Source organism: Homo sapiens, chromosome 6 (assembly GCF_000001405.40).
Source record: "Homo sapiens chromosome 6, GRCh38.p14 Primary Assembly".
Taxonomy (NCBI): Eukaryota; Metazoa; Chordata; class Mammalia; order Primates; family Hominidae; genus Homo; species Homo sapiens.
This window is the reverse complement of record NC_000006.12, coordinates 166,819,362-166,843,788: the sequence shown is the minus strand read 5'-3', so window position 1 is coordinate 166,843,788 and position 24,427 is coordinate 166,819,362. Positions and strand designations below refer to the sequence as shown.

At 44.4% G+C, this 24,427-nt stretch overlaps 1 protein-coding gene across 4 annotated transcripts in view, besides 1 other annotated feature; it reads left to right on the top strand.

The window, feature by feature from the left end:
- RPS6KA2 (ribosomal protein S6 kinase A2) overlaps positions 1-24,427 on the top strand; it is a 453,410-nt gene that overhangs the window by 18,985 nt on the left and 409,998 nt on the right. The window lies entirely within an intron of this gene.
- Positions 6,657-7,178: an enhancer, noted in NCBI's record as "H3K27ac-H3K4me1 hESC enhancer chr6:167250099-167250620 (GRCh37/hg19 assembly coordinates)". NCBI's record gives its function as "activates a minimal SCP1, AML or CMV promoter by ChIP-STARR-seq in naive H9 embryonic stem cells {active_cell/tissue: H9 hESC(naive)}" and the evidence as "EXISTENCE:reporter gene assay evidence [ECO:0000049][PMID:30033119]".

Below are 24,427 nucleotides of genomic sequence, written 5' to 3'. Positions count from 1 at the left end.
ATCTGGGACTCAAGACCTGCTTTTCAGATTCTTTTGTTCCATGGGGTACTCCCTTGATGTGGTGTTCTCCCCCTTCCCCTAGGGATGGGGCTTCCTGAGAGCTGAACTGTAGTGATTGTTTTTGCTCTTCTGGATCTAGCCACCCAGCAGAGCTACTGGCTCTGGGCTGGTACTGAGGAACGTCTGCAAAGAGTCCTGTGATGTGATCCGTCTTCACGTCTTTCAGCTGTGGATACCAGCACCTGCTCCAGTGGAGGTAGCAGGGAGTGAAGTGGACTCTATGAGGGTCCTTGGTTGTGTTTTTGTTCAGTGCACTGGTTTTGTGTTGGTTGTCCTCCAGCCAGGAGGTGGTGCTTTCAGGAGTGCATCAGCTGAGGTTGTACAGGGAGAAGACAAGCTTGCCCTTGGGTCACCTTTGAAGTATTCAGGTTTCTCCAGAGGTGGTCAGGGCTGTAGAGCTCCCAAGGGATTATGTCCTTCGTCTTTGGCTACCAAGGCAGGTAGAGAAAGACCCCCAGGTGGGACAGGGTTAGGTGTTTCTGATCTCAGATTCTCCTTGAGCAGGGTTTGGTGTGGCTGCTGTGGGGGATGGGGGTGTGATTCCCAGGCCAATGGAGCTATGTTCGCAGGGGGCCTCTGCTGCATCACACAGATCACCAGGAAAGTGGGGTAAAGGCGGCGGTCACAGGCCTCACCCTGCTCCCATGCAGCCCACAGTCCTAAAGGCTGGTCTCACTCCCACTGTGCCCCCAACAGCACCGAGTCTATTTCTAGGCAGCCGGTGACCTGGGCTGAGAACTTGCCCTCCCCACTGAGAAGGCAGGCAGACTCACGGTTTTTCAGCGTCTCATGGAGCCTGCAGCAGCGATAAAGTTCCTTCAAAGGGTCCGTGGATTCTCTAGGCTTTCCTGGTATGTTGCTGTGGTAGTTCTTGGAACAAAAGTTCACGATGTGGGTCTCTCCACATGCTGCTTTGTCTGTTCCAGCAGGAGCTGCAAGCCAGTCCTGCCTCCTATCCACCATCTTAATCTCCATTTTCCCTGTCTGTATTTTTAAGATAAGTAACTCTGGGTATTGGGCTAAGAAGCACGGAGCTGGCCGGAGACACAAGTTGTGGGACGTGATGCTCACAGAAGAGATTTGAAAGCCCTTCGGGTCCGTTATGGATACAGCCCCTCTGGCTTCAGTGCTGGATTAGTCTCCTGGAGCCTTGCAACAAAGTTCCATGCACCGGGCAGCTTAAATAGCAGAAATTCACTCCCTCACCGTTCTGGAGCTGGAAGTCTGTGATCACAGCATCCACAGGGCTGGCTGCTGCTGGGGACTCTTTGGGAGAATTTGTCCCAACCTCTCCCTGTCCTCTGTGCTTTGCTGGTGACCTCTGGTGTTCCTTGGCTGGTGGGATTCTCTCTCCAGTCTCCACCTCCATCTTCACATGGTGTTCTAAGAACGCAGTTATATTGGATCAGGGCCACCCTGGCGACTTTCATCTTATTACACCTGCAATGACCCTATTTCCAAACAAGGCCACATTTCGAGGGACTGGGGGTTGGAGACTCACGTATCTTTTGGGGAGCATAATTCGACCCCTAGCAGATACTGTGCTTGGGAACCCCCGTTCGGTTGGCGTTGTGGGTCAGGGTCTCAGAGTCTTTGCGAGAGAACCTGCTTTTTGGGGCATGAGCCAAAATCGATGAGTTGCACGCTGACCTGATTTTTTATCATGATTTTTGCTTCTACTACCGCTGGAGGTGTGTAGAGGCCTCCCTGCTGCCTGGGCACTGGCTTTTGTTCGCTCGAGAGATGCCAGATCCTGCTTGAGGCTTGTCCAAGGGCACCAGAATCACGGTGACCCTTAGGGAAGACCTGAGGCCACCACAAACTCCTGGTCATAGCGGGGACCAATTGGTGATTAGAGAATATTTTAGGGTGATTTTGTATCAGACCCTCTGTCCTCTACCAAACAAGCCTCACTCCTGGCCTCTTCCTCATCTCTTTAGAGAGTGGTCACGGGGTGTTACCGTCATACCATGTCAAAAGGGAGGAATGAAACACAGGTCCCATTACTTGCTGTCAGCCCCCTCTCACCTTTTCCTTAGCAGTGAAGTGCAATCACTAGGTCCTTTCTGACTCAGCCTCTGCAGGCCTTCGGCTGTGGGCCTCTGGAGGCTGGGTGCAGCACCTGCTGTGTCTAGATCAGAGCTGCCATCTCAGACCTGCTGAGTTTTTCTATTTTTCCTCTGCAATTAAGTTTTTGTTCTTGTGTTCTCACCTTACCCTCCTATAACTTTGAAAAAACATACAGTATTCTTCTGACACTTTCATCTTCAGGCTTTGGAAAAAGCTCATCGTCAGCTCTGGGACCACTGTCTTTGAAAGAGCAGGTGCAGCACGCACTTTGCCTGGCTCAGCATGGCAAGAAGCACGCGTCAGCGCTGAAGCTGCAGACATGGCCTTGACTCTTACTAGAATGCAGTATCTTCCTTTTAACGCACCAGGGATATTCAGGTTTTTATTTTTCATTTTTTATTTTTTTGATACACGATCTCACTCTGTCACTCAGGCTGGAGTGCAGCGGTGTAATCTCACCCTCAACTTCCTGGGCTCTGCTGATCCTCCTGCCTCAGCCTCCTGAGTAGCTGCCTGGCTAATTTTTTTTTTTTTATTTTTTGTAGAGACAGGGTTTGCTTTGTTGCCCAGGCTGGTCTTGAACTCCCAACCTCAAGTGATCCTACCACTTTGGCCTCCCAAAGTGCTGGGATTACAGATGTGAGCTACCACACCCAGCCTCAGCTTTCTTTTTTTCTTTTTTCTTTTTTTTTCTTTAGACAAAGTTTCGCTCTTGTTGCCCAGGCTGGAGTGTAATGGCACGATCTCAGCTCACCGCAACCTCTGCCTCCTGGGTTCAAGTGACTCTCCTGCCTCAGTCTCCTGAGTAGCTGGGACTACAGGCATGCACCACCACACCTGGCTAATTTTTTGTATTTTTAGTAGTGACAGTGTTTCTCCATGTTGGTCAGGCTGGTCTCGAACTCCCGACCTCAGGTGATCTGCCCGCCTAAGCCTGGGATTACAGGCGTGAGCCACCACGCCCGGCCCAGCTTTCTTTTTAAACAATGTGAGATGGTACATTTCAAGGTTAGTGATTAGTTAAGCCTCCTGGGCTCAGGACACAACTCACTGGCATTTTGTTACAGTAAGGACGTGCTGTCTAGCATTGCATATCCTCAGAGTGCTGCTGGAGAAATGGCGAGGAAAGGAAAGCACCACACCTTGTTTTCCTAGAGGGTTGTAAAGGAGCATTTGAAAACCAGCTCCCCAAACCATTTGCCCAGTCCTGGAATGTGTCTGTGCCAGGCAAACTTTCTCTGTTTTTCAGCCACAGAGGGTCCCCGGGCAGCTCTACTCGTGGGGAGGTAGAGAGAGGAAGGCCGTCGCACTCTCACATGAAAGCCTGGAAGTCTGTTTCTTTTTGCTGTGCATGGAAACCACCAAGACTTTGATAAAACTTCAGGTTCTGGTCCAGTGGATTTCTCACAGGCTTTGCAGGAACTTGGTGCCCAGGTGCCAGAGCATGCTTGAGTGTGGATGGTGCAGGACACTGCAGATCAAGGAGCAAGACCACAGGCACACAGCAGCTGGAGGTCTGTTTTAGGAGCAAAGGAGTCATTTGGGGGCAGCTTTGCAGAACAGTTTCCAGTGTTCACTTTCAAATTTTTACTTCCTGCAAACAAGTGGCATTATGGCATCTATTTTTTATGTTAACACTAAGCTTATTGCTTACATATATATATATGGAATAATACTAATTTCATTCAATAGTTGAACTCATTACCTATTGGAGAGGTCGATTTTTGTCCTTTTCTATTTTAGTTAATTTTAAAAGTCCACAAATTTATCATCTTACCACTTTTGAGAGCAGAAGTCCAAAATCAGTCTCACTGGGCTGAAATCCAGGCATCAGCAGACTGCCTTCCTTGTGGAAGCCCAAGGGAGAACCCATTTCTGGGCCTTTGTCCACATACCCTGGCTGGAGGCCCTGTGCTGCGCCTCCAGAGCCTCCAGTGCCGCCTCTCCTCTCCTCTCCTCTCCTCCCCTCTCCTCTCCTGCTCTGATTTCCACCTCCCTCTTATAAGCACCCTTGTGACTACATTGGGATGGCATCTATTTTTACATTGGTGAACCATACTATTCCAAAGCCCCCATTATAAACAAGAAGCGAGTCCATTTCATTTTACATTTAGAAAATAATGATAAATATACAGTAACTAACCCCTCAGATATGGTAAGGCTCAATTCCCCCTTATTCTAATGTCTTCCCTTAAAAGTTGCTACATCAATAGTACACATTTACTCACTTATTTATCTAACAAACATTTCTTCATAACGTATCCTGGAAAAGGCCACGTAGACACTGCAGTGATGAATGACAAGTCCTCTGGTTTTTGGGTGTTTGATGTGCAGGAGACGTGATCATCACAGTATAAAATATATAGCCATGAATTCACGGAACAATGCAGGAAGCTACTTTGAACATAACCAGCTAATTACAGGAAAAAAGCAATAAAGACACAAGGGGGGAACACCATGACTTACGCGCGGGTCCCCCAGCGGGTGGCTGTGAGTTCCTTCTGGCTGCTGGAACTAATCACCACAAACGTTGTGGTGTAAAACAACACACACTGGTTGTCTAACGGTTCTGGAGGGCACAGATCCTAAGATCGAGGAGTTGGCAGAGGCTGTGTTTCATTTCCAGAACCCACTTCCTGCCTGTGCCAGCCTCCAGAGGTGCCAGTACTCCTTTGCTCACGGCCCTTTCCTGCAGCGGCCTCACTCCCATCCATCCCGACCTCCATGGCCACATCTCGTCCTCTGACTCTGACCTGCTGCCTTCCTCTTATGAGGGCCCTGGTGAGATTAAACTCACATAGAAAATCCAGGGTGGTCCTCCTTGTTTGTCCAAAGCTGCAAAGCCCCTTTGCCGCATACCATTCTCACAGGTCCTGGGGCTTATCACGTGGACATCTGTTAGTATCTTTGCGGCCAAGATTCCGAGTCCTCCAGTGGTGAGGCCTTGAGGATACCTGGTCTACCTGCAAGAAAACAAGACTGACACAAAAGACTGGGAAGGACTGCTGTGTATTAATGACACGTAGGGACATGATAATACAATGTAACATTTACTTGTTGGTTCCATTCTGATTTGAAGAAACCAGCAGTAAAGTATATTTCTTTGGACAATTGGGGGACTTTGAACGTGGACTAGATAAACTTTTTTTGATTTTGTTTTATATTTGTATTTTTTTGTGAATATTTTTTGCTCAAGTATTTTTTTGGTGATGTATATAAACCATAACATTTCATTCCTAAATTTTTCAGTATGGCTCTCTGAAAAATAAATACATTTTCCTCCATAAGCACAATGCTATTATCATTGACACGCTGACACTCTCATCCTTGCCTTCCCCAGAACCATTGCGTTAGGAAGGTCGGAAGCACTTCACCTTGTAAGTTAGAGGCTGACCACCCTTCTTCAGTGTTATTTTACTTCCTTGAATCAATTATAGCTCAATTGTACCTCTGTTGGACAAGGCATTGATTTCCAACTGTTAATTTTAGCAAATAATGTTAGCCGCTGACCGGCTGGTACAGGGCTTTCAAGCCTGAGGTCCTCAGCCCATGACTCAGGTGCTCCCTGTGAGCCAGTAAGGGCTTTGACTTTGTGATCTGGGGCTTTTGCCAAGGAGCCTGTGCTCATGCAGAGCCTGCGTTGCGTTTATGTGTCTCAGACACAGAAGTCAAACCAACTGTCAAGCTCATTTTGAACCAGAAAAACTTCTGTTTCTTAATTTCCATTTCCATGTGCAAGCTTTATTTTCATTCCGTAGAAGATATTTGGATAGATTATTGGTAAAAAGCAAACAACCAACCAAGTAAAACAAAAAGCTTCCAGTTATGCCTAGGACTTAGAACGCAGTGACAACCTGGTTTGCAATGAAGCCCAGCCAGGTCATCTGGGAACCCCACCTTCCCTGAACTTATCGGGAGCAGGGCGGCCAGGTGGCAGCCTGAAGGGTGGGGAGCCCGGGAGGGGCAGAGGGCGGGTGGAAGACACAGCCACCCCCACAGAGGTGATGAGGACACAGCTGGGTGTGGGCCCAGCACCAGCCTAGGACCCCAGAGCCCCAGCCACGGGGCCATCCTCACTCCAGTGTCCTCTGCAGCCTTCTCGCAGGGGGAGGGGACTGGGGGCTAGGCAGGAGCGGGGAGCCCTCAGGTGGACAGACACAGAGGTCCACCCTGCGGTCGCCTTTTCCCTCTTGTGGTACAGAGCCCTTAGCCAGTGGGAGGGGGAAGGCCCTGCTTCGGGGAAGAGGTGGGAGCTCTGAGAGGGTCCGGAGTGACCCCTGCTCCACAGTGAGCCTGAGCTGAGAAAACTGCAGTGTGGCCTCTGGCCCAGGGAAGGGCTGCTGAGGCCAGGGGTCAGGGAGCGGCCGAGCCTTCCACCCCGGGGAAGGGCTGGGAGAGCCTAGAGAAGGCTGCTCCGTGGGGGTGGGCAGGGCGCCCTCCCACCCCAGACCCTTGAGGCCTGGGTCCTTGGGCTGCCTCTGAGACAGGCTGGACAGGAGGCCTCGGAGCCCCCTGGCCTCACCACGCACCTCCCAGCAAGAATGGACAGCGTCGGTCTTCCTCGGGCGGGGCACGCAGTGAAGAGCCGGCTGTGGCCAGGTGAGCGGCACCTGCTCAGCGCTGAGGGTGCAGCGGGTACTGGAAATCCCGCTGTGCTGGGCCAGGTCCCAGGTCCCAAGAGAAGCTCAGCTGCAGGTGCCCGAGCGGGACTGAAGACGGGGCACACTGAAGGCAAAGACCAAGCAGCGAGGCCTGGTCAGCTCCTGACAAGACAAATCCCGGCTCAGGGACCGAGGTGGGCCAGCTTGGGTGCAGGTGTAATTTAAAGTCATCTCGGCCTTTGCTGTTCCTCTACTCACCATACCCAGTATTTGATTAACAATTCGAAGACACATACCAAAACAAACAAACAAAAGCCAACCTGTCCTCGAGACTGGCCCAGACGCTAGAACCAACAGACGAGACTTGAAAGTAACTATAATAAATATGATGAGAGATCTACCAGAAAGAGTGGACAGTGTGTGTGAGGAGACACTGAGTTTTAGCACAGAGGGGAAAGCGATGAAGATAAGTCACATGGCTGTGTTTAGAAACCTTCAGAAGTGATACCAGAGGTGAAGTATTCTGTAATGAGCTGATTAATACATTGGGCACAGAAGTGGAAAAAAATCAGAAAACTTGGAGGTAGAAAAATAGAAAATAATTAACATGTATATTTACTCACTGTATAGTCTTATATTTATTAAAGGTTTTTAATTTGTTGTTAAAAACCCCCACAAGGAAGTTTTCAGACTAATTGAATTCACTAGTGAATTCTATCGAACATTTAAGGAAGAAATATTACCAATTCTACACAAATATGTCCAGAAAATAAAAGAGGAGGAAGTATTTTATGAAGCCAAAATTACCCCGATACTAAAACCCGTGCAAAGACATTACAAGAAAAACAAAAACAAAAACAGAAAACTATAGGACCATGTCTCTCCTAAATATACACTTAAAAAATAATATATATTTTCCTTAGGAAAATATTAGCAAATTGAATCCAGCAACATACAAAAAGAATAATGCATCATAAAAAAGTAGAACTTATTCCAGCAAGTGCAAATTTGGTTTAATATTTGAAAATAAATGCATGGAATTTACCATATTAACAGACTAAAGAGAAAAACCACATGATCATCTTAATAGATGCATAAAAATCACTTGAGAAAACTCGAAATCTATTTCTCCTAAAATTCTAAAAATTATGGATAAAAAAGAAACATCCTCAATATGATACAGTGCTTCTACAAAAAGCTGACAGCCAGCATCACACCTAATGTGAAAGATGGAAGGCTTTTGCCTTCAGATGAGGACATTGCACCACTCCCATTCAACATTATACTGAAAATTATTGGTAGTGCAAGAAGGTAAAAAAGAAATGTAAGTTATACAAATTGGAAAGGAAGAAAGCAAGCTGCATTTATTTTCATACAACATTACTATTTACCTAGAAGATTCCAAATTATCTGCAAAAGCAGCTATTAAGACTCACGTGTTTAGGATGGTTGCAGGACGTAAGGTAAATATGCCAAAGTCAATTTTTTATTTCTTTATAAAGGAAACAAAAATGAGAAATTGAAATTAAAATGACATACAGTAGGATCCCAATATTACAAAACATGGGCAAGGTTTGTGTACTGAAAATTACAAAACATGGCTGAGAGCTTAAAGGGAGGTTCTAAATGAATAATGCAGGCTAAGGTCATGATCAGAAGACTTAGTGTTGTTAGGGTGCTGATTTTCCAAACTGATTTTGAGAATCCAATGCAACACCAATCAAAATCTCCACAGAATTTGGCAAACAGATTCCTAAACTTAATCAGAAGTTCAGAGGATGTAGAATAACCCAAAGAACTTTGCGAAAGAAGAATAAAGTTGGAGAACTCACACTGTCTTTTAAAGCTATACTACAGTGATGTGGTCATCAAGACAGTACAGTATTGGCATAAAAGTAGACATAGTCAATGGAATGAATAGAAACAGACTGTCACACTGTGGTCAATTGATTTTTGACACAGATGTCGGTGTAATTCAATGAGGGGAAAGATTATCTTTTTAACAAATGGTGTTTGAACAAGTAGATATTTATAAACAAAAAGATAAGCCTTGGTGTTTGCATTGTTTATAAAAGTAACTAAAAATGGGCCATTGACCTAAATTTAAGACCTAAAACAATAACACTGATAGAATAAATCATCGCTGGTTTAGGCAAAAGTTTTCTAGATATGGCACAAAAGGCATGAACTGCTAAATAAATAAATAAATAAATAAATAAATAAATAATAGGACGCCATACAAACTAAAGACTCCTGTCCTTGAAAAGACACTGTCAGAAAAATCCAAATACTGGCCAGAGTGGGAGAAAATATTTTTAAAACACATACCTCATAAAAGATTTATATCCGGATTACATCAGGAACTCTTACAACTAGAAAATAAGAAGACAACCACCCAATAAAAATGGGCAAAAGATTTAAACAGACATTTTTGTTTTAACTTTTACTTTAGGTTCAGGGCTGCACGTGCAGGTTTGTTATATAAGTAACCTGTGTCATGGGGGTTTGTGGTACACATTATTTCATCACCCAGGTACTAAGCATAGTACCCAATATTTTTTTCTGATTCTCTCTCTCCTCCCACCCTCTACCCTCTGATACACCCCAACGTCTGTTGTTCCTTCTTTTCTTTGTGTCCATGTCTTCTCATCATTTAGCTCCCATTTATAAGAGAGAACATGTGGTATTCAGTTTTCTGTTCCTGCTGAACAGACATTTTAACAAAGACATGAGAACGGCAAATGAGTGTGTGAAAAGATGCTCAACATCATGAGTCATTTAGGATATGCAGATTAAAACCACCGTGAGATACTGATACAAGCCTACTAGAGTAGCTAAAACTGAAAAGTCTGACAGCATCAAGTGCTGACAAAGGTGTGAAATAACTGGAACTCTCTTCCGTTGTTGGTGGGAATGCAAAATGACGCAGCTACTTTGGAAAATAGTTGGGCAACATCTTTTATAGTTAAACATACCCTTGCCATATAACCCAATGCTTTCACCCTTAGATATTTATGCAAAAGGGGACAGGCATGGTGACTCACATCTGTAATCCCAGCATTTTGGGAGGCCAAGATGGGAGGATCACTTGAGGCCAGGAGTTTGAGACCAGCCTGGTCAACATAGTGAAACCCCAACCCTGTAAAAAAAGAAAAAAAAAGAAAGAAAGAAAGAAGAAAAGGAATTTATGCAAAAGGAATAAAAACATACATCCATGAAAATGCCTGAATGTGGACATTTACAGCAGTTTACTCATAATCACAAAAAGCTGGAACCTGCTCAAATGATAAACTCGTGAATAGATAAACAGATTGTGTTCTGCGTCTAAACTTGGGACACTTCTCTGCAATGAAAGGAACAAACCAGGGGTGACTGCAGCAACACAAGTACATCTCACAAGAATTAGTCTGAAGGAAAGCAGCCAGGCCCAAATACTATGTATTGCATACTCCACTTCTACCTGTAGACCAGTGGTGTCCAGGATGTGTGGGCTGCCGGAGGAAACTGACAAAGGGACATGAGGGAAGCGTTTAGGGCAGGGAGATGTGCCATGCCTTGGTTGTCATCATGGTTACATGACTGTACAAATTTGTAAAAATTCATTGATCTCTACACTTAAAGGAAGTGAATTCGCCTGTAGGTAAATTAAACTTCAATAAATCTGACTTAGAAAAACATAAACTCTAGGGAGTTACAGTTTCAAATATTACATCATAAAGGAAAAGTCCATATTCAGTTATAGACTGACTTGCTTTGGATTCTATTAATGTAGATGTAGACAGTTTCATCTTTGTTGTTCCTGATGCCTTCCTTTGTTGGCTAAGAATGGTTTCTTCCATCAGATCACCTGGCTGTGAGTCTATTTCACCACTTTGGCCTTTTCTAAGCTTGTTTCATCACGTGTAGGATAATATTTGTATTTTCTTCATGGTTGTGAGGATGAAATGTGGTAGTACCATGCAAGTGCTTGGCTAACTGTGGGCACACAGTAAGCACTCAATAAATGTCTGCTATTATGATTATTTGTATTATGAAAGAAAAAGTTGCTAAACATCTTAATTAAGCAAATTAAACTGCATTTACATAAGAGAGCAAGCTGCTTTCAAACATATTGGCAAGATCTATTTGCAATGAGACATTTTAATGTGAACATTATAATTAAAATTTGCTCTTTAAGGTATCGTGATTAAAGTCTTGGCTCAATTCTTTTCTAACATTTAGTTTCTTTAATTATGAGTGCTTGGAAGTAATAAAATGACATTTAAATATACTTCAGTGATTCATGATCTTCGCTAATTCTGACAATTTCCCCAGTTAGATCAAATTAATGACATTGAACATCAAAAGTAAACATTTAGTAATAAATCTGTCAATTTTCTGGATCTCCTGCATTTCCTAACATTTAAACTGTGGGGCACTGCGACCTCCCAGCATGCTTCTTAAGAGAGGGATTCAGAAAGTTTATTTTCAAGATGGAGTTAGTTTCTCTTGACATGAGCGGACTTACCATAGAGAAAACACCAACAGAATTTCCATTTTTGGCTATTATACTTAAAAGTGTATTGCATTTTTGTCTCTAGAGTAATATCTTGGTGTAGCCAGGGGCAGTATTGCCTGGGGTTCCAAGCCTGGGCTCTGGGGTCTGTCAGAAGTAGATTCAAACTGGATTCAAAATCCAGCTCAGCCTCTGCTATCTGTGCATCTGTGAGTAAATCCAAACATGTGCTGAGAGCCTGGAGCTTCCCCCCCAACTTCCTCAGCACAGCCAATGTGTCCAAATCCCACTCCTCTTATCCTAACTCAGCTCTTCCTCCCAGGCCAGGCAAATTCCAACACCATCAGCCACTTTCTTCCTGTTTACTTCATTAAAAATACTCCCAGGTCACTTTCAAGGCCAAATCAGAAATCTGGTACGCATCTTATATTCTTCCTCGGTCATAACATGCAACCAACTCACTACTGTAGATTATCTATATCTATCTATCTATCTATCTATCTATCTATCTATCTATCTATCTATCATGTATCATCTATACATGTATGTATATATGTATCTATCATCCATATATCTGTGTATCTATTATCTACGTATGTATCTATGTAGCTATCTATCCATCCATCTATTATCTATCATCTGTCTATCTATCCATCCATCATCTATCTATCCATCTATCATCTGTCTATCATCTATGTATATATGTATCTATATATCTATTACCTATGTATGTGTCTACTATCTATCATCTATCTATCTATCATCTATCTATGTATCTATCATCTATCTAGTATGTAATTCTGTTATTGTGTGTATGTATGTAGATGTGGTAAAATACAATTTGTTTAAAAATATTTCCTGTTATAGTTTTTATTCTCAGTTTTGGAATTTCTCTCTGTGGTCTTTTGCTACCGAGCCCAGGCCCAGGGAAGGTGAGGGCAAATGCGGCATGGAAATAGAACAGCACCTGTTCCCTAAGGGAGCGTCTCTCAGTGGGGGCCAAGCCTTCCTCTGTGGGAAGAAGGAGCCTGTGAAGAGGTGCGGACAAGGCAAGAGTGTCTTGGTCCTCACTGCCCTTACAGCTGAAGCTTTCTGTCTGGCAGGGGCAGGGGGGAAGGTGTCATGCTGGTGTAGAAATACACAGAGTGGTTGAAGGAAGGGCAAATTCAAGTTGAAGTAGAGAAGCTCCATAGTCATCATGGCCACGGACCCACTGTGGACCTGAGCAGAAGAGAGATGGCAGGGAGGGTAAGGATCTGAGAAGGGATCCCTGGTGAGGCCTCCGGTCCTGGATGCGTGGAGCAGCCTCTGAGGAACCTGCCTCTGAGCAAGTTTAGTGAGGTGCGCAGGACCAACACCTGCGGAGAGTGGAGGAGGAGGTGGGGGCAGGGAGCAGCTGCATTGTCAGTGTGGATGGCCCAGGAGGGAGGCGCCTCTTCCATCAGGGGTTCTCTCCGTGGATGGACCCAATACCCCCTGCCACTGGAGGGTCTGGGCTCCAGGCCCTCAGAGGTGTGGTTGGCCACATGCGTGGTGAGTCAGGGGTCCAGGGAGGCCTTCGTTGCAGAAGAAACTCCCCAACCACAGCGTGTGACCCAGCCCAAGGGAGAGCCTGGGTCTGGCCAGAGTGCCTAATGGTCAGGGCTCTAGCTTGATAGGGGGGAGCTGGGAAAGAGGAAACAATAATGTCCCAAATCTCAAAGAAAAGGCCTTAAAAATCAACACAGTGCCAGGACGGAAGGCTGTGGCTCTGGGATCCCACACAGCCATGGAGATGACAGCTAAGGCAGTAACACAGGTTTCAGCCCCCGCTTTCAGATCTGGGTCTGAGAGGACTGACGCTTGGTGTGATGAGAAATGTCAGAACCCACAGCAGAAAGCTGTGGGCTCACACGCTAAGGCAGATTTAGAGGGCAGGCCTTACTTCCCTTGCCTCGTAGGAAATTGTCCATGAACTCTGCATGTGTCATTTCTTGTGCATGTATTGGGAGAGATGTTTTATACTTTGTATCAGCGATGAGCTTTTTTTAAAAAGAAATTATAAAAATATAAAATGTACCATCTTAACGGTTTCTAAGTATGTCAGAGGTATTCAGGGCTTTCACATCATTGTACAACCATCACCACCATCCACCTCCAGAATACTTCTCATTTTGCAACACTGAAACTCTCTGCCTGTTAAAAACTAACCAACTCTCTGTTCTCCACTTCCCTCAGCCACTTCCCCAATGAGACAGCAACTGTTCTACTTTCTGTCTCTATAATTTTGACACTCTAGGCACCTCATGTAAGCAGAATCACACAGCATTTGTCTTTTTGCAACTGGTATATTCACTTAGCGTAATGTCCTCAAGGTTATGGGCTCCATGTTGTAGCATGTGTGAAAATTCCTTTTCTTTTCTTTCTTTCTTTCTTTCTTTCTTTTTTTTTTTTTTTTGAAATGGAGTTTTGCTTTTGTTGCCCAGGCTGGAGTGCAATGGTGCGATCTCGGCTCATGCAATCTCCGCCTCCCAGGTTCAAGCGATTCTCCTCCCTTGACCTCTGGAGTAGCTGGGATTACAGGCGCCCACCACTACGCCCAGATAGTTTTTGTATTAAAAATTAAAAATACTAAAAGTAGAGATGAGGTTTCACCATGTTAGCCAGGCTAGTCTTGAACTCTGGACCTCAGGTGATCCACCTGCTTCTGCCTCCCAAAGTTCTGGGATTACAGGCATGAGCCACTGCACCCAGACAAATTCCTTTTCTTCTTAAGGCTGAACGGTGTTCCATTGTAGGTATATACACATCACATTTTGTTCTTCCACTCGTCTGCTGATGGACCATTGGGTTGCTTCCATCTTCAGAGTACTGTGAGTCAAGCTGCTGTGAACATGGGTAGACAAATACCTGTTTAAGTCTCTGCTTTTCAATCTAGCAGGGGAATTGATGGACCATATAATAATTTTTTTTTTTTTTTTTTTTTTTTTTTTTGAGACAGAGTCTCGCTCTGTTGCCCAGGCTGGAGTGCAGTGGCGCGATCTTGGCTCACTGCAAGCTCCGCCTCCAGGTTCACGCCATTCTCCTTCCTTAGCCTCTGGAGTAGCTGGGACTACGGGCGCCCGCCACCATACCCGGCTAATTTTTTGTATATTTAGTAGAGACGGGGTTTCTCTGTGTTAGCCAGGATGGTCTCCATCTCCTGACTTCCTGATCCACCCGCCTCAGCCTCCTAAAGTGCTGGGATTACAGGCGTGAGCCACCGCGCCCGGCCGATAATTCATTTTTAAATGTTTTTGAGGAACCACCGTCCTGTTTTCCACAGCAGCTATACTATTTTACATTTCCACCAGTAGTGCCACAAAGGTTTCAGTTTCTCCACATCCTTGCCATTTGCTATTTTCTGCTTCGTTGATAGCAGCTATACCAATGGGAGTGAAGTGGTGCCTTACTGTGGCTTTAATTTGCATTTCTCTCATGATTCGTGATGTTGAGCGTTTCTCCGTGTGCTTATTGGTCACCTGTAGTCTTCTGTGGAGAAATGTTTGTTCAAGTCGTTTGCTATTTTTTAATTGGGTTATTTGGTTTTTTATTGTTATTGAGGTTATTAAGTTGTAGGAGGTTTTTATACATTCCAGATATTAACCCCTTATCTGATATATGATTTGCAAATATTTTCTCCCATTCTGTGGGTTGTTGTTTCATCTTGTTAATTGTGTCTTTTGATGTACAAAAGTTTTACATTTTGATGACGTCTGATTTATCTATTTTTTGTTGTTGTTGCCTGTGCCTTTGACGTCATATCCAAGAAATCATTACCCGATCTGATGTGATAAAGCTTTTCTCATCTTTTCTTCTAAGAGTGTTATAGTTGTAGGTCTTACATTTAGGTCTTTCATCTATCTTTAGTCAATTTTTGTGTATGATATAGAGTATGTCCAACTGTATTCTTTTGCATCTTGATATCCAGTTTTCACAAGACAATTTGATGAGTCAGTGATACCACTTTTAAGGCACACTGAATACATTTATATCTCAAGCTCTGTTAGATTTTTATGTGATAAATTTATTCCCATAGATAAAGTACTTGCTCTACTTCTACCCTAGAAATATTAAGAGCAAAAGAATTCTGGAAGGAAGGGTGAAGGAAAGGGCAGATACGGCATGAGCCCAACGTGGTTTGTCATTTAGCACTGGGGACTGGCGTGGCAGTCTTGCCTGAATTCTGTCCCCACAGGAAGGTGGCGGGTGTGGAGTTGGGGAGGAAGGGGAAAGGAGGGCAGGTCTTTCAGAAGAGGCTCTGCAGGTGACAGGTTCACCTTCCGGGCCATTCTGACCACTGGGCTCTGATTCTGTGCTCACTTTGTGGCCATCAGAGGACTCCCTGAGGCCACAGCACTGTGCTGAAGCTGGGAGGGAACAGGTGGGATGCCCATGCCCCATGCTGACCCTGAGGTGTAATTGTCTCCATCATGAGATCTCATCCATGGGTTTGTACTTACTTTTTCCTCCAGCATGTTTCTGTGGTTTGATGTAGCAAATTCTGTCAGGTACCTGCAGCTGATTGCCATCTCTTCTAACAGAATATATGTGTATTTACAGATGTATGTTTACACCCAATCTACATTCCAAGAGGAAGTTGAGGCACCTTATTAATTTAAAATGCTTCTCACACAATAGACTGAAACTAAAAACCCGATTAAGGGTACAGAACAATGAAGGCAGAGCATAAAACAAGAGATCAAAGTGCACCAGCCTATCCTTACAGTTTGCTTTCACATTTTGTGTTGAAATTGTTATATTTAAGATACGCAGTGTGAGGTTTTGATGTCCATACACATCGTATTCTGATTACAACAGACAGTCTAATTCACTTCCCATCTCTTCACACAGTTACCTTGTTTTTGGTGGTGGGAACACTTGAGATGGACTCTCAGCAAATTTTCAGTACGCAACAGAATGTTAATAACCGTGTTCTCCATGCTGTGTGTTAGATGTTGCCAACCTTAATAACAGACAGTGGCTCTCTAAAAGAAAATGTTTATTTGCGAGTAGAGCATTGCAATGGGAATACATGTGCCATAGTAAACTATGTATATATTCAGGAGATAAAGACAGAGGTGTTTAAAGAAAAAAATGAGGAGGATTACATAATTGTTTTGCAATAATTATTCTTGGCCACAAGATCAATAACAAGGCTGAACGGTGTTCCATTGTAGATATATACACATCACGTTTTGTTCCTACAGTCCGAGGTTGGACAGGCAGTTTCGGGGCAGGTGTCCTTCCAGAAGCATTTTTTTTTTTTTTTTTTTTTTTTTTTTTTTGTATAAGGTTGTGATGGCCTTTGTGCAAGGTTGTGGTTTTTGTAAAGTCTTTTTCATTATCAGGTGTACAAGCCTGAGAACCTTTTCTTCTTGGCCTTCCCCAGCTCTATTTGTCAAGGTTTTCTTAACTTTAGTGACTCCATTTTTATTCTGACAACTTTAACAACCTTTACAACTTATCATCCTACATAACTAACACTTTGTGCTCTTTGACCAAGGTCTCCCCATACCCCCACCTCCCTACCCTTACTAACCACAATTCTACTCTCTGCTTCTATGTTAAAGGTAGGCTTGGAATTCAACCCTGACCTTTCTAGAGGCTTCAGTAAAATGAGAAACATAATCAGTTATATAATTCATAGCATCTGCACATTAAAACACAAGAAATATAGCCTTTCTGAGAACTATGGTCTGAGGTTAATTATTCCTGTATCTTCCCATGAAGAGTACCCTCAATAATCCAGTAGACCAAGCCCTATACTAAATCTAGTACTGAATTTCATATATGTCCCTCTTATAGGGTCCATAAATGTAAACAGAGAGTATAATGGCAAAATCGAGGTCAATGAAGACAGTTTTATGGGATGTGAGGCAACGTGGTACCCTAGCTATGGTAAGCCTAGCTTAATTCAGGGGACAATTTTATAATCCGTAGAAAAGCGCATCTTTCTGGCAATCTTTTGTAACAGTGATTTACCCAACTAATCTTTTGTAAGAGCCAAATCTCAGAGTTGTCTGCAAGGAGGTGTGTGGGAGATTCTCCCTTGAATTGCACACATACCAAGCAGCGCTGTGGATGACTTGAATCTGATTTAGGTCATCCCAGGACATGGCCCAGACTTTTTGAGTCCTACAGTGTGAGCAAAGTGCTCAGGACGTCCTAGGAAAAAGGAAAGGGCTCTTTCAATTGATTGTGTGTGAGAGAAGAGAACATTTTAAAAACAGCTAAGGTGTGGCAATGGGAAACGTATCTTTCTACTTTTCCACTTTCTCAGAACAAATGAAAAACATCCTATCAAGTTTTAGATGTAAAATATAAACTACATATGAACATAGAGTTTAATGGGAGGACAAAGAAAAATGTGTGAAAAATATATCACATGCTTTGTTTTTCCCAGCCGCTTAATAACATTTACATTTGTTTTTCTTAGTAAAACTTAAAATATCCACCAACCTAGGAAATTTGCCAAAAGAGAACATCTATTTATGCCCGAAGTGTTTTCTAATGACTCATTGTTGTGCTTGCCTTGGTTCATTCTTTCAGGTTAATTTGATCCAATTTTCTTTACTTTCTACTCACAAATGTTGACGTGAAAGGCAGGAGCTCAGATGACAGCCCAGTGGAGGAATCTGTTCCTTCCTGCTGTGGACATTTCATCTGTGCTGTGGTCTGAATGCTTGTGTCTCTCCCAGAATTCGTGTTGAAATCCTAACCCTCAAGGTGATGGTATTGGGAGGTGGGGCCTCGGGAGATGATGGGTTCATGAGGGTGGAGCCTCATTCATGGGATTAGTGCCCTTATAAAGGAGACCCCAGAAAGCTCCCTCACCACTTCCACCACCGGGGACACAGGGAGAAGTTGCTGTCTATGTACTAGGAAGTGGGTTCTCATCCAACACTGAATCTGCTGGTGCCTTGACCTTGGACTTCCAGCCTCCAGACCTGGGACCACTACATTTCTGTTGTTTAAAAGCCACCCAGTCTAGGGTAAGTAGCTAAGCTACCCAGTCTAGGGTAAGTAGCTAAGTAGCACCCTGAAGGGACTATAATGATTTGCCAGGATCTGGGTCATGTCAGGGGAAGCAGGCCTGCCCAGGGGTCCCTCTCTGCTGTATTCCACCTAAACTCCATTTCTTCCCCTAAGCCCGAGTTCTTCCTCAACTCCAGGCGTTACCTGGGAATGAGAGGTTAAAGTTATTCTCTTCAGAATAGTCGCCTTCCCCTCACAGCCACGGGTACCCTGGATTCCCAGCAGTCACGGCACCATCAGCCCTGCCTTTTATTCTCGGGACTCATGGGATCACTCCCCTTTGCCCCCTCCCCTCAGCATCCAGCACCCCTCAACTCAGAGCCCCCATTTGTGGGGAGCCCGCTCTGCTCTGGCTTTGAAATGGATTCCTGATCATGAAAGCGACATTTGTAAAAGGGTTTTTAGAGGCCCTGCTATTCCCTCGTGGAAGAACAGCGCTCTGCAGCACTGCTGTGTGGGTGGAGGCAGAAGACGGACGGGAAGGCAGCTCCCTGGGGTGCTCCGCTCATGGCTTCAAGTTAGCACCCCGGACAGGGTGAAGCACAGAACGCTGTGGCCTGCAACTGTCCTGATGTGATTGCCTCTTTTCACAAAGTTCAGACACACATACACACAGACATACATACAGACATACACACACAGACACACATAGATACACACACAAGCATACACACACACACAGACACACACAGACACACATAGACACACAGACACACACACAGACACACACGTAGACACACAGACACACACACAGACATACAGACATACACACAGACACAGACATACACACAGACACACACACACAGACACAGACACACATGTAGACACACAGACACACACATAGACACACACACACACACAGACATACAGACACCCACATAGACACACAGACACACACATATTAGACATGCAGACACACACACACAGACACAGACACACATAGACACACACATATAGACACACTCACACACACATGCCCTCATGCTAGCACAGAAGGATTTGACTTAGGGTCGGATTAAATATTCAAGTTTCCTTTTAAGTGAAAACTGCCACAGAGAAGTTGGGAAGTATGTCCCCCAGGCATCTTGCAGAGTGAGAACCCCAGCAGGTGCCACCTGCTGAGGCAGTGCCGGGCACCAGGGGGACAGGCTGCTATCTGGAGAGTCGCCCCACACGGCGGCTTCTCTGTACACTGGTGCACCAGGTCCAGTACTGGTTGGTCCATACCACATCTCTATCTCTGCTCCATGGGCAGCCCTCCCTCGCTGCCTCCCTTCATTCATTCATTTGCTATGACGTCCTTATACATGACACCTCGGGTACATGTGCAGGAGTTTCTCGTGGGTGCAAAGAGATGTGTGTACATGTATACACATGCATACACACAAGCATGTATATTCACATGTGTATACACATATAAACAAGCACATACACATCACACACACACATACACAACCAACCAGAGATAGAATTATAGAATCGTTGTATGGAATTATTGAATGGAATTCACATGGAGAGCATAAACTTTTGAGGAGAGCATGCCAAGCTTTTTTCCAAATTGGTTGTGCCAGTTTATACTCCCAACAGCAGAACGTGAGCATACTATCCCACGTATCAGAGAAGCTCTATGTCTTCCCTAACATGTGGTATCGTAAGACCTTTTAACTTTTTGCCAGTTGAATGGGGATAAATTGAACTTCGCTGATCAAATAAGGTTCACTTCTCTCTACATTTTTAGTGGCCATGTCCGATTCCTCTCCTGTGAAATGCCTGTCCGTGTTCATTGTACTGCATAGTTTCTGCTTTTATTTTGGAAAATTTTGAGCAATTGCAGAAGTTGAGGGAATAACACTAGGAACTTTCTTGCTCCCACTGTGCAACAAATATCACTCACAGAAAATTTTGTTCCACTTTAAACTCCATCTCTTCCCCTAAGCCCACATCCACCAGACTATTTTTGAAGAAGTTTATTATCACATTATTTCAGCTACAAGTATTTCAAGAAGTGTCTCTAAAGATAAGGTCACCCTTTACACACACACACACACACACACACACACACACACACACACTGCAAAACCAATACAGTGCATAACAATTTAATAATAATTTTTTAGTATCATCAAATGTCAGGTCTTTGACTTTCACCAGTTATCTGATCTGTAATAGTTTGTGTGAGTCAGGCTCTAAGAGAGGCTCATATACCGTGGTTGGTTGACACACCTCTTAAGTCTCATTTAATATGTGGTCTCCTTCTACATCTTGCATATTTCTTGCCTTGTTAAAGAAACTGGACCACTGTCCTGCAGTGTTCTGGGCATTCTGGATCTTTCTGCCTGCTTCTTCATTGCATCCTTGAACATGGTCCCCTGTCTCATGTAGCTCCTGTCTTTTGTCAGTTGGGTCTAGAGTCTCACCAATATTCAGGTGGGGTCGTCTGCCCTTTGGATGTCTGGTTGTCTTTTTCTTCAGTTTTGGTGATTGCCAAGATCCAATAACTCACTAGGAGTGATCAAAGAGTGATACCCTCATTCTAGCACTTCTTCATTGATGAACTGGAATACTTCCTTAAAAGAAACTTGTCATTCTACCAAGAAAAAGTTATGACTGAGGAACCACAACATTCTGTCTAAAAATCCACTTACATGGCTCCTTATGGAAAGTCCTTAGATCTGGCAACATGGGATTGCATTCATTCATTCATTCATTCATTCATTGGAAAACACGTGCTGAGCCCCTATGTGTGAGGCACTGCTTTAGGGGATAGACCTTTGCCTGAACAGGGCAGACAAATCCACATCTTTGTCCTGATTTTCTGCTGGATGGAGACAGACACATAAATAATCCATGAGCTGGATGGGGTGGTGGGAGGTGGTGGGGCAGGCAGGGAATGGGATGGACTCTCAGTGTAGCTGGAAATCGTTTGTGTCTGTGTCTAGGGCTGCCCTGACAGGGACCACAGACTCGGCAGCTTTCACAACAGAAAGTTACTTCCTTGTAGCTCCGGAGGCTGGAAATCAAAAGTCAAGGTGTCCACAGGGTGGGTTCCCACCCCACCTCTCTTTGGCTTGCCGGGGCACCCTCTTGCTGCGTCCTCACCTGGTTGTCTCTCTGCGCAAGCAAAGCCAGGGTGTCTCCCTGTGCCCTAATCTCTTTTCATGAGGATACCAGTCAGATTGGCTTAGGGTTCCCCTTGTGGCCTCATCTTAGCTGATTTACCTCTTAGAAGGCCTTGTCTTCAGACACAGGCACATTCTGAGGCGCTGGGAGTCGGGACTTCAATGCAGGAAGTTTGCAGGGACATATCCAGCCCGTAAAGCCCTTACCAATGTCAAGCATGGAATTGCTAGAGTCAGATTTTCTTTAAAATCCACTGCAGCTGTTCTGCAAGGACAAGACTGACAGGGCAGGGGGGAGGAGCAGGAGGCCAGCTCCAGGAGGGATGGTGGTGGCGCGAGCAGCGTCCATGGTGACAGAGGTGGAGGGCCAGGATCTGGGTGCGTGCTGGGCTTGGGGCTGTCAGACTTGCCAACGCATTTGATGGGAGGCTGAGGGAGAGGGATTCAGGATGGTGCCCAGTGTTGAACCTGAACATCTGAGTGTGCCGTTAACTGAGAAGGGGAAGAAGGAGAGAAGAGCGTGTCTGAGTGGGGAATCCAACACAACAACGTTAACTTCAGTATGCCTGTGAATAGACAGGTGGAGAGGGCAAGTAGGCGGCCTTAGGAGGGAGGTCACAGAAGGGTCAGGGCCTTACTACTGGGCATCCTCAGCAAACATGGTTTTTAAAGTGAAGGGAAGTTTGTCTTGGAAGAGGCTACAGATTATGAAGGGATGAGGGCTCCGAGTGGAAATCTGGGGCACAGCAATAGTGAAAGGGAATAAGTGAGGGGGAGGAAACCCAGGGGAGCGTAGGTGGTTACGGTGGGAGGAGGGATGGCCCACCGCACCCACACGGAGGATGCACATGGACAGGGCAGACCCGTGCCAGGCTAAGGATGGAGACTGACTGCAGCGTTTACAGGAGAAGCCGGGATTTCTGGAAGAAGACATAGTGAGGCCTCCTGTGTTTCTGCCTGCCTGCCTCTCCACCCCTCCATCCTACAGCCCCACGCATGTGAAGCGCACCCACAGGGCCTGAGCTGCTAAGCCACCCAAAGAGGACAACCAGGCCCCTCCCCAGAGGGAATTGAAGGCTGATTTGTCACTCCTGGGGTGCGCCTGCTGGAAAGAAAGAGAAATCCTTGTCTCGGTGTTACCCGATCACCTCTATATTTTAAAAATAAAGCCACTAAGCAATTCGAAATAACACTTCAAATTTGCTAGATGTGTTTTACATTTATACAATTTTATCCTAATTAATACTTATAATTCCTATGTGCTCACTCTGTGCCTAGCGTGTGATACAAAATATGGTAACCTAATTCAATATCCAAATCCCTATAGCCCTGGACCCATCATTCCAAGACACCTGCTTGTCCCTGCCCTTGGCTCCCTGTGATAAAATGCTATTTTGTGCTATGTTTAAAAATTCATCTGTGAGAGATACTTGTTAATTTTTACTTGCAGCGAACTTAGGCAAGGAGGAGTGCTTTTACATAATGTTCCTAAACTAGTGTGTGTGTGAACGTAGTAATTGGTTAATTATAATTGAACAAAATAATTGAGGTCATTATAAGTGGGTTAATTACTTTTTGTTAAGGAGGCAATTTACTGTCTTATAACAAATGCAGTTTAAAATGTAATGAGCACAATTCTCTATAATAAGTATGGAAAAATGTGTGTTATATTCATATATATATAAATCAAAATTACAAGTCAGCTTTTATTGGAATTATGGGAATAAACCTTTCAATATTATAAGAAAGCTCTTTGTTCTTTACAGTGGAAAGATCTGCACAGTAACTCAACTTTGTGGTAACAGAATAGAACATTTGCTTTAAATTGCATGGTATCAGGAATGTAAATGTTTTCTAACCTATTCTTCTATTTTTTCCACCCACCAAAGCCTTTATATTCCCAAGACAACTACCTTCACACAAGGCTTCTCATTAAATCCCAGTGAGACAGCCCACTCATCTAAACATAATTTTAACCAAGATTGAATCAGATAATTTGAGACCCAGGTGAGAGGCACTTAATCTGAGATTGAGATAGAGGAAGGAAATCTGGAAACCTTTAATGAGAAAAGGGCATTCAAGTGGGGTTCTGTGGATGGTTAGGAGTTGGACAGACATGGGAGGCTGGTCGGTGGGTGGGGCAGTTTTACCTGCACAGGTAACAGCATATGAAGACATCTAGTAGTGGGCTCAGAGCTTAAGGGAAAAGTTGAAGAAGGGGCTTTGTCCAACTATATGTACATGTCCCCTGGATAAAAGGACAAAGATACATACAGATAGCCCATGGCAAGCACCTTAAACAGTCATGGACAGAAAAATGCACTGAAAACTGCTCCAGCTACTTCCCTTCACCTCAGATTTGCAGGAGTTCCAAAGCTTGATTCCAGGCTTTGTTGACAAAACACACACTCTCATATAGTGCCCTTGGGGTAGAAAAGTGGAAAAACTCTTGAGGAGGAAAATTGGCCTTATAGGAAAATTATAGATGCATTTACCCTTTAACCCAGAGCTCCCCTTTCTAGTAATTTACCCTGAAGACCTACCTTCATAAATACAGTAAATACAAGATTATTCCTTGCAGCATTATTCATACAGCCAGTTATTGAAAACAACCTAAGTGCTACCCATAGGAGACCAGTTGAATAAACTACAGGATATCTATGCATGGGGCACTGCAGAGCCCTAGAAAGAATGAGCACAATCTCCATGAAATTCAGGTAATTTCCAGGATTTACTTTAAAGATTTTTACCAAAAGACTATAAATGAAGTATAGTATACTCATACTGTGCCCTATCTACACACAGTTGACCTTAAACAGCATACATTTGAACTGTGTGAGTCCACTTATCAATGCAGATGGAAAACACGGTACTTGCGGGATGCAAAACCCACCTATAGGGCTGACTTTCTGCATTCACAGGTCCTACAGGAGCGACTGTGGGGCTTGGGACTTGAGTAGTTGCAGATATGGGTATATGGGGTTGCAGAGGGACATGTCTTGGAACCAATCCCCAACAGACCCTGA